General features: G+C 38.2%; 1 long non-coding RNA gene across 1 annotated transcript in view; it reads left to right on the forward strand.

Moving 5' to 3' along the window:
• LINC01193 (long intergenic non-protein coding RNA 1193) overlaps positions 1–10142 on the forward strand; it is a 52867-nt gene extending 42725 nt beyond the window's left edge. Inside the window, exon 5 of the long non-coding RNA NR_040094.1 lies at positions 7458–10142. This is a non-coding gene — a long non-coding RNA (long intergenic non-protein coding RNA 1193). The remainder of the gene's footprint in view (positions 1–7457) is intronic.
• The last annotated feature ends 356 nt before the right edge of the window (positions 10143–10498 follow it).

The following is a 10498-nucleotide window of genomic DNA, read 5'->3' on the forward strand; positions in this document are numbered from 1 at the left end:
CCCTGCGCCACCTCCATTGAATCATGTTAGGCCTTAATGTACCTTTCCTTTATAACACTTACTGAATGATTAATTTGGCATTTATTTACCTGGCTATTTTATTCAGTGTTTAGGATTTATACTAGATTGTAAGCTCCTCAAGAGTGTTCCAGGTCTAGTTTAGGTCACCATGTATCCCTGATTAGTACCACACATCCCAGTGCACCATGGTTCTCAACAAATAACATGTTATATAAATCAATAAATGACAGGAACAAAGATGTTTTTCAATTTGTATTACAATGTTTTCTACTATCTGGCAGAATCTTAGTAGGATTTAATAGAAATCAGGCAATGTCTACTCCTTAACCTGACTTTGAGAGAGAAACACTGATTTTTAAGAATCACTCCCAATTCTGACTTTTTCTCATCATTATGTGGGTGAGGTAGAGATATTTCTGAGGCTTTTTTGTTCCGGAACTTGTCTCCTTGGACATTTTAACTAGGTCATCACTAGATCATTGCTACATGAGGTATGGTCTATTGACCAGCAACATCAGTGTCAGCTGGAGACTTTTAGAAATGCAGAATCTCCATTCTGACTGGTGTGAGATGATAGCTCATTGTGGTTTTGATTTGCATTTCTCTAATGACCAGTGACGATGAGCTTTTTTTTCATGTTTGTTGGCTGCATAAATGTCTTCTTTGAGAAGTGTCCATTCGCATCCTTTGCCCATTTTTTGATGGGGTTGTTTGTTTTTTTCTTGTAAATCTGTTTAAGTTTTTTGTAGATTCTGGATATTAGTCCTTTGTCAGATGGATAGATTGCAAAAATTTTCTCCCATTCTGTAGGTTGCCTGTTCACTCTGATGATAGTTTCTTTTGCTGTGCAGAAGCTCTTTAGTTTAATAAGATCCCATTTGTCTATTTTGACTTCTGTTGCCATTGCTTTTGGTGTTTTAGTCATGAAGTCTTTGCCCATGCCAATGTCCTGAATGGCATCGCCTAGGTTTTCTTTTAGGGTTTGTATGGGCTTAGGTCTTACACTTAAGTTTTTAATCTATCTTGAGTTAATTTTTGTGTAAGATGTAAGGAAGGGATCCAGTTTCAGCTTTCTGCATATGTGATCACTAAAAAGTCAGAAAACAACAGATGCTGGAGAGGATGTGGAGAAATAGGAATGCTTTTACACTGTTGGTGGGAGTGTAAATTAGTTCCACCATTGTGGAAGACAGTGTGGTGATTCCTCAAGGATCTAGAACTAGAAATACCATTTGACCCAGTGATCCCATTACTGGGTATACACCCAAAGGATTATACATCATTCTACTATAAAGACACATGCACAAGTATGTTTATTGCAGCACTGTTCAAAATAGCAAAGACTTGGAACTAAACCAAATGCCCATCAATGATAGACTGAATACAGAAAATGTGGCACATATACACCATGGAATACTATGCAGCCATAAAAAAGGATGAGTTCATGTCCTTTTCAGGGACATAGATGAGGCTGGAAACCATCATTCTCAGCAAACTAACACAAGAACAAAAAACCAAACACCGCATGTTGGCTCACTCATCAGTGGGAGTTGAACAATGAGAACACATGGACACATGGAGGGCAACATTGCACACTGGGGGCTTTTCAGGGGTGGGGGGCTAGGGGAGGGATAGCATTGGGAGAAATACCTAATGTAGATGATTGGTTGATGGGTGCAGCAAATCACCATGGCACGTGTATACCTATGTAACAAACCTGCACGTTCTGCACATGTATCCCAGAACCTAAAGTATATATATCTATAAAAAGAAATGCAGAATCTCATGCCCCTCTGACTCAATAAGCATTTTAAAAAGTCTATCAGTATTTTGCATCACTTTGTTCCTCCAAGCCTTGGCCCAACACCTAGCACATAAGATGAAGTTTTGGGTGATGAATGAATATGCTAAAAAATAAGAGTGAAGGAATATATGAAAGGAGGGAAAGAACACCATGGGAAAGTGAAAATATATCATACTATGATATTTGAGTATTAGATCCTGACAATTTAGTTTCAACACTTTTGGTTTTGTATGATATGAGGAAATAGTGTTCACTTTGTCGGTATTAAGCTCATAGGTGTTAAAGCAAACTAAATATGGCCTGAGAAGGACTTGTACTTCCATATTTGAATCCTTGTGGATGAACTGTAACCTAGCTTAATAGGCAGACAAAATTGAAAACCTAACTTACGAGTATGCACCTGCAACAAATAGCTAAGTCTTAGCCAATCTCAGTGGCCATACTTCAATCATTAATACACTGATGAGGCAAATGCCAATCTGTAACCAATGCAGCTGTTCCTGTAACTCACTGCTGATTTCTGTATGTCATTTCCCTTTTGTTTGTCTATAAATTTACCACCACATGGCTGTGCTGGAGCCTCTGTGAATCTGCTGTGATTCTGGGGGCTGCCTGATTTGTGAATCATTCATTGCTCAATTCAACTCCTTTAAATTTAATTCAGCTGAAGTTTTTTCTTTTATCATATGTCTGGAAAAATCCTATAAGAGTAATGTAAACAGCATTTGGTTTCCAGGGTGGGATGCAGTTCCAGGAGAAAGGATACCATTCATTTCTTCTGAACGCCTTCAAGAGACATGTGAATGATAAATGTGCCTGATAACATCTCAGGCACGTTTGTGTTATGAGAGGAAACTAAGGAAAATCTGAAAGTTTCTTGGGTGTATAAATAGAGATGGCTGGAAGAAGATGGGGGAAAGTGAAAGCCATAACTGTTGAGAAAATTAAGCTTGTTGAAATATGCAAATTGGGTCTCGGCTCCATACACGGTGCTGATAGTTAGGACACTGAGACTGTCTCAAGAAGACAACCTTAAAGGCCTGAGAATCCAGTCTGTTTCCCTCTTCTAGGGCACCTCCTTCCCAGAAATGACACCATTAACACTTTTTAGCACTTATGTAAAGGTCTGGATCATTTGAAGTTACATGCCACTGTAGGACATTTTCTCTCTGAGTTGTTGGTAGACATTTATACTGTAGAGAAAATTTTGCACAATTTAACTATTTAGAAAATGAAACAAAAAATGGACAAATATGAAAAATATAGAAAAATTATTAATGGCACAGTTCATTTACATCAAATTGTTACTAATACTTTGCTGCATTACTATTTTTTCTACTTTGAATCATATTATGACTAATTTTGAATTCTACTTTTTATTCTATTTTTATCACTTTAATAGCCTATCTTAAGTCTTTACCCATATTTTGGGATAATCTTTAAAAATATTTACTTTAATACGGGGAAGCATTCTATCATGTACACATACTACAGTTCTTAACAATAATCTACTGGTGGATGTTTCATTTATTTACATATTCCATTCATTCTCCAGGGCTTATTTTTCAATGAGGAAGCTTGAAGAATTGAGATAGATAAGAGGAAATGTAAATGTACAAAGTAGAGTATGTCTGAGGGAGGAGTACGAAACCAAGAAGCTGAAACTCTTGTCACACTTTATTTATGTGATGATTTTAGAGCATTGGTCCTATTGGAAGGACACTGGCAGGGTCCCTAAAACAGCACATGCTGCACTGAAGAGAACCTTGTTTCTTAAATGAGCTCTAGGCAACAAGTACTTTTCCTTAGAACATTTATAGAAAATATGAGATACAACGAATGTCTTCGTGTACCTATGTATTGTTTTTATCTTTAACGATTAGGTATGCCTATCACGCAATGTTTTTTACAGATTTTGCTGTCAAAGGCTCCTCAGTGGCTGCTTCAGCCAGCAGCTAGGACTTCAGGTCAAAGTCCTGTTATGCTGATGCAGCTTCATTTCCTGAAGCAAGATCCCTCCCACTTCACTCTGATGGGAGAGTCTTCTTTCTTTACAACTATTAAGCTAAGATTTTTGAGTTAACATTTTAAAAATATATTTTTCCTTTTATTTTTAGTTGACATGTAATAATTATATTTATGAGATATAGAGTACTAGTCCAATACACATAGACAATACGGGATGATCAAATCAAGGTAATTAGCACATCGCCTCATGCATTTAGCACTTCTTTGTCTTGTGAACATTCAAAATCCTCTCTTCTAGCTTTGTAAAAATGCACAATAAATTATAGTTAACTATATTCACCTTACAGTACTACAGAAACATTTAAAACATTATTTCTTGAGATCTTGGTTCTTTAGGTGACTGTTGTGGTGGTGATTAATCAGTATCATGAAAATACTTATGTTGTCTATCATGGTATTTCAGAAGACTACAGTTATAGAGCTGGGTGCATACAATTACCAACCACAATGATATGCATTTACATATTTCACCTTTTGACCTATTTCTTCATGAATATAGTTCATCTGTTTATAACTCTTATACTTGTGTGACTGTTGATAGAAGGCCTGAATGTTTATGCTTGCAAAAATGTGTGTTATCGCTTATTTTATTGTGTAAGGTGATCTTTGAAGTGTTCTGTTGTGTTTTTATTTTTGTGTTTTTATATGTTACTCAAATAAATACCTTTTAAAAATGTAAATAAATATATCTTAAAGAATTTTTAAAATTATTTTTTCCAGAATTAAATTTTCAGGATTTCAGTCTTTTGGGATGGCGATTTTTGGAATTTTAGACTTTAAGGATTTTGTTCTTTTGATTTTCAACATTCGATTATGGTGTTTGGAACTGTGTCTTTCAAGATTGTGATTGATTCCAAATGCAACACAGGGTTAAAGGAAAGTGGAAAAGACATGAAAAAAATCTGAGCTGTGCCTTACCTGAAGCTGTTGTGTGAGAATTATAGAAACATGTAGAGAGTAGACATCTAAAGTTAGGTTACTGTCTGCTGGAATACATGAGTCAACCTCATCCTCCTTGGTCTCCCATTTGAGAAAGTGTTCAGCAAAGAGGAACACAGTGGCGCTCACATCCAAAATTTCTTAGAAGGCCTTTAAAAGGGTCAGTGTTGGAAGGTAACATTATCAAGTACAGCAGTTATTTGGAGCCCACCCAATAACCATATTGTGGTTACAAGCAGATGTAAAGGGCACTGCAGTCTTTCCTGATTTAGGAAGCACCGATTACACCTGACTCTTTAGGAGAGTATGTAGCAGACACATTTTGAGCCATGGCTATCATACCCTGGACAGCTCCTCTTGGAGGAGTGGTGACTAAGAGCACGCTGTGTGTACGCTCAGTCTTCACTGCTGACCTCCAGTCTCCACCTGCTTCATTTTTAAATAAATGTGCCAAGGTTTATTTTTGACCCTTCTGGATCATCCAACATTTCCAAGTGGACTCATCTAGGGATAACAGTGAGAAAGTTTTGGGAAGATCTCAAAAAGTGTTTCTTTAACTGAGATCTTAATTGGTTCAGCCTTCAGGGAAAAAGGGAAAGATGATGAGGCCTGGGTCTAATCTGAATAATCAGTTGACCTTAAGCCTGAATCAGAATATCAAATATAATTGGAAGCCTTGATATATGTTTTTATACTAACATAGCTATGTTTTCCCACAAAATAGATGATACTGGATTTAGGACTGAAAATGTAAGAGAAAGGGGTTCTATGAAGTCCAAGGATATAAAGACAGAAGTCAGTTATGGCAAAGAATTTACAAAACGCTTCAAAGGCTTATCTATCTCTTCCCTTCTTTCTACAATTCTGCACATGTGCCAGCCCCAAGGATTCTGTACTTATGTTGAGATTTTTGGATCAATATCTGTTTTAGTGGCACTTAACTTTAAACTATTTGCCCACTTGTTTCATGAATTTGTCATTTTAGTTTCACTTAAGAAGTACATTGTCAAACTATAGTGAATTTGGCGAAGAACAACTAGAGGGGACTTAGAAGTACGGAAAATGAGTAACAGTAGAAGGAATTGGGATATTTAAATTGGAGAACAAAAAGTTTTCTTGAAACAAATGAAGGGTAATTAATAAAGCAATTGAATTTGTCCCATTTAATCTCTAAAGTACAGAATTACTATAATTCTATAGGGTGACACATTTTAATTCATCATGGAGACTTACTTTTTAACAGAGAAATATATGCAATGATGGAACGAGCTGAAGAACAATACTTTCTATCAGTTGCTTTTGTCAGATATAGGTTGGGAAAGTGGGAGAGGGTATCTAAGCATCAGATGCAAATTTCTTTCAATCTTGAAATTCCATGATACGATCTAAGATATTTCAAGAAAAAAACCATTCAGGTTGATTTCAACAACATAAAAAACTGTAATGGAAAATATTAAGGCTAATTAGAACGTGAAGTTTTATTAACATTGATAATAATAATATTTTCTAAGGAACACTAGTTGACAGCAGACAAAGGGAGGGGGGATGAAATACTGGAATTGTGGTCAGCAAAGCCCCAGGGTTATGCCACAGGACTACAAGTACTCCAACTCTATTAAGGAAGAAATTGCTAATTTTTTTTTTTCCCCTGAAGCAATGTGTGTGGAAGTCTTTCACTTTCTGAGCCAAAACTTGAGGAGCTGACCCTGAGGTGGCAGTTTTCCTGGGGGAGCTGCTTAGATAGCTTTTCATGCAGGGATAGTCCCTCAATGCATTACCTTTCAGAGGCTATGGCATCAGGCCTCTATCCAGAAGGGGAGGAGGACTAGAGAGCGCTCAGGGGAGAGGGCGATAAGAGAGAGATTTGCTTGTCTAGGTGATGTTGCTGAGTAGCCCAGTGTGGACTCTGTGTCAGAGAGCTCCAAAGTACAGCAGCAACTTGGGGTCTTTACAGCCCCAGAATTTATCTTATCTATGGCATTTGAGTTAACAGGATTCAGCTTACTGTAAAGAAGTAAACACCCTAGGGGGCTATATAAAGAAGCCCTCTTTGGCCCATTTGTCTAACAGATGGTCTCTGAAATTGTTTGCAGTGACTTTTTACCTTTTTTTTTTTTGCTGTGTTTTTCCAGATTTAGACATTTATACTTTCTCTCAAGCTCATGTCATGCCAACAAAAAGTAGAGAATTAAACTAATTAGTCTACACTAAGGTTTCCATTTACAAAAGAGAATTTATTTTAATATTATGAAAACAACATGTGCTTATTTTAGAAAAAAATAATAACACAGGAAAGTATAGGAAGTTTAAATCATCCACAATACCATTTCTAAGACCATTTCTAGCCTCCTCTGTTTCTCTGTATTTCGTATATTAGATATCTATGTAATTATTTTCAAAATTGGAATCGTAGTGCATGCAGTTTTGTTAATACTTTTGTTTAATATATCATGTGTCTTTCCCCATAGCACTACGTGTTCTTTGAAACATGATTCTTAATGAGAACATTATAGTCCATTTTTATCAATGTACTTTATCCTTCTGTCTGGGGGCACTTATAATTTTATGCAAAATCTCTGTAAATTTGTGAAAATATTCTCAGAAATAGATAACGTGTGTGTATTTTTAAGATGTTTACCTCGTTTTTGCCCATTTAACTCCATAGCAAGGTAAGCTGTCATCAGTTGGAGGTAAGCAGAAGACAGTAGAGAGTACAGAGCCCTGGACTGTGACTCAGAGGATGAGCACCAGATCCAGTTTGCTGTGCCACAGTGGTAAGTCACCTAACCTTTATGTGCTTGGATTCCTCATATGTAATACAGGATCACAACTATTGTTCTCACTCATGCAATACTACTATTGTGAGAACCTCATGAATTAGAGAAACTCTGAATTTGCAATTTAGCTTTAGAACACTGACAAGTAGCTCATTGATTCTTGCCTCATTCCTCTGGAATAAAGTAGCTTTTTATCAAACAAGTGAACACATTGCTTTCAGTGGAGGCAGAAGGAATTCATTTTGAAAAATGCACATAGCATTCTCCAACCCATTTTTGCATATTCTTTTTTAAGGGAATGCCTTGTGTGAGAGGACTAGCAGGGTATCAGAACTGTTTTTTGAAAGAACTTTGTTTGCAGGTGCTTTCAAATATGTTGTCTTCAACTATCATTTTCAGTGTAAAAAGCGGGCTTGGAGTAAGCACTGCCTGCAGACCACTTTTGTGAGCCCTCCTTTCAGTGATGTGATGGCAATCCAGGCCCCTGCTGGGAGAGATTTCTGCCTGGTTAAACCTCTCACAGCTTCTAATCCTCTCTTTCTCATCTGGCTTTCCTTAGCCTTCTCCAAAGTCACTCACAGAAGGCATCCCACTCAACCTCACCTTGGGGTAAATCAAAATAGTCCTCCTTCTGAAGCTACCGGGTAAAACGGTGGTAGCTGTGCAGCTGCTGCTGATCAACAGGCTCCAGAAACAGCAGCAGGAGGTGAGCAGTCCCTGCGTTGGCCACCAAGTGGTAGGTGGCCAGCCCTACCTCCAAGTTGCACTGTTTACTTATTCATCTTTCATGGTAAAGCCTCCAGTTGCCTATTATGAAATCAGCAATAATCATGTGTCCCCTGTCTGGGTCCCTGAAAAGATGGAAAGAGGCAGATCAGGCTGGTGCTCTGAGAATGACAGACATCAAACAAGAATGAAAAGTGTCACCCTCCTTGGACTTATTCAGTAACTCATGCCCTTGAGCAAAGGAGGATTTTCTATCAAAGGACATGGATTTCTGTGTCTTTCTCTTGAGATAACATTGCTGGGTGACCACAGAAAGCTGGCTCTGGAAGCACAGAAGCTGCCTTTCCTTGAGTAATAATGTCTCTTCAAAGGGAGCTGGAGCATGAGTAGTGTACATGCCTCAGATTTCAGTGAAAAGTTCAGAGGAGGCCTGAGAAGAAGGTCCTGGGAATGAATCATCTAGATGACTCAACCTTGCAAAGCCATCCACCTCATTGTGGATATCATTCAATACATTTGGTGCTCCATCATCCTATTTCCATGGCTATTTCCTCACATTTTTCAAAGTCTGTTTCTTGAGCCCTGACTGTGTCAAATAGCATGCCCTGTTATTCTTGGGCTTCCCTCTCTGTTCTAGTATTCAGGGAGATTTCAGAGGCTGGGGTAAATCTCAGACCAAGAAGACGCAATGGTTTTGAGGTAGAGATCCTAGGAATATAGAATTCTGAGCTATGCAGTGGTCCTTTGCTTTCAGGAAATCAAGTTTGATAGTATCACCTGAAGCATACTTACATTATCCACAAATGACAGCTCCTTACTTGAGCAGTTAAATTGTGGCAAGTCTTAACACACAGATTCCTCTTAAATGCCACCTAATCCCTGCCTGGCTTCAAGCCTCTGGCTTCCCTTGGAGAGGGGCAGAGTCTCTCTGTGTGAGAGATTCTTCATTTCTGCTTTCTGCCCTGTCAGTTTCTACTTACTTGCTCTTCCACCTTGTCCACAAGGCTTATCTAGCGGCTGTTTACCTCTGAGCAGAGAAAATGGAAGTCAGCAGAGACAAGGTTGAAATTTCTCAGGAAGGATTTTTTTTTTCCACTTTATCGTGCAGCAAGAGTAAAGCCTTTTTTTCGGTGATTCTTTCCTCCACAATGGCCATTGGCTGCCCTCTGTCACACACAGGTGTGACTCCCTTGTTATTAACTGTCAGGTGGGAATTTCTAGGGAAGAAGGAGAGTGCTTTGTTAACCTCTTAACATCTCCCCAAATTGCATCATATTCTCTCCCTTTCCCCTCCCAGTTACCTTTTCTATTTTTGATTTCCCCTTTTTCAGTCTGATTTGGGGATTTCAGTTCCCACTAACTTTGTATAATATCCTCCTATCTCTGAAAGAACAAGTTCCATCTCCATTTTCCAGGAGAGTTTTTTTCCTTGCAGTAAGAGCACCCCATCATCTCTCCATTTCTACCTCCCCATCCCAGTGCTCCCTTTATGGCAGTACAATTGAAGAGGGACCCACAGTCTTGCTGAAGGAACATGACCTTCCTACTGAAGTTGGGATTACGGAATAGAGGGAGAAGAGGAAAGATGGATGTTTATCTGAATGGTCGGATCTTGTTTTCCAGAGGACACAGGCCAATGGGAAACTTTTGGGAAGGAAGTCAAAAAATCAAAGCCAGAACTGGGTTTTGGTAATTTAATCTCCCAAAGAGAGAAAAGTCCCCATACTCTAATTCATATTTTGTTTGACTTGACTGAAGCCCTTTTGAATATTTTTTCTGCTTCTGTTCTGTTCTTGCAATAACAATGACATAAGTTTGCCTTTGGAGACATTAAAATAGTTTTCTCATCTCTTGTTCCAAGCATTTATTTTATTTTATTTTTTTGGCGTATTTATTTATTTATTTATTTATTATTACTGTACTTTAAGTTTTAGGGTACATGTGCACAATGTGCAGGTTAGTTACATATGTATACATGTGCCATGCTGGTGCGCTGCACCCACTAACTCGTCATCTAGCATTAGGTATATCTCCCAATGCTATCCCTCCCCGCTCCCCCAACCCACAACAGTCCCCCGAGTGTGATGTTCCCCTTCCTGTGTCCATTTGTTCTCATTGTTCTCACCTATGAGTGAAAATATGTGGTGTTTGGTTTTTTGTTCTTGCGATAGTTTACTGAGAATGATGATTTCCAATTTCATCC

Source organism: Homo sapiens, chromosome 15, assembly GCF_000001405.40.
Source record: "Homo sapiens chromosome 15, GRCh38.p14 Primary Assembly".
NCBI classification, from domain to species: Eukaryota; Metazoa; Chordata; class Mammalia; order Primates; family Hominidae; genus Homo; species Homo sapiens.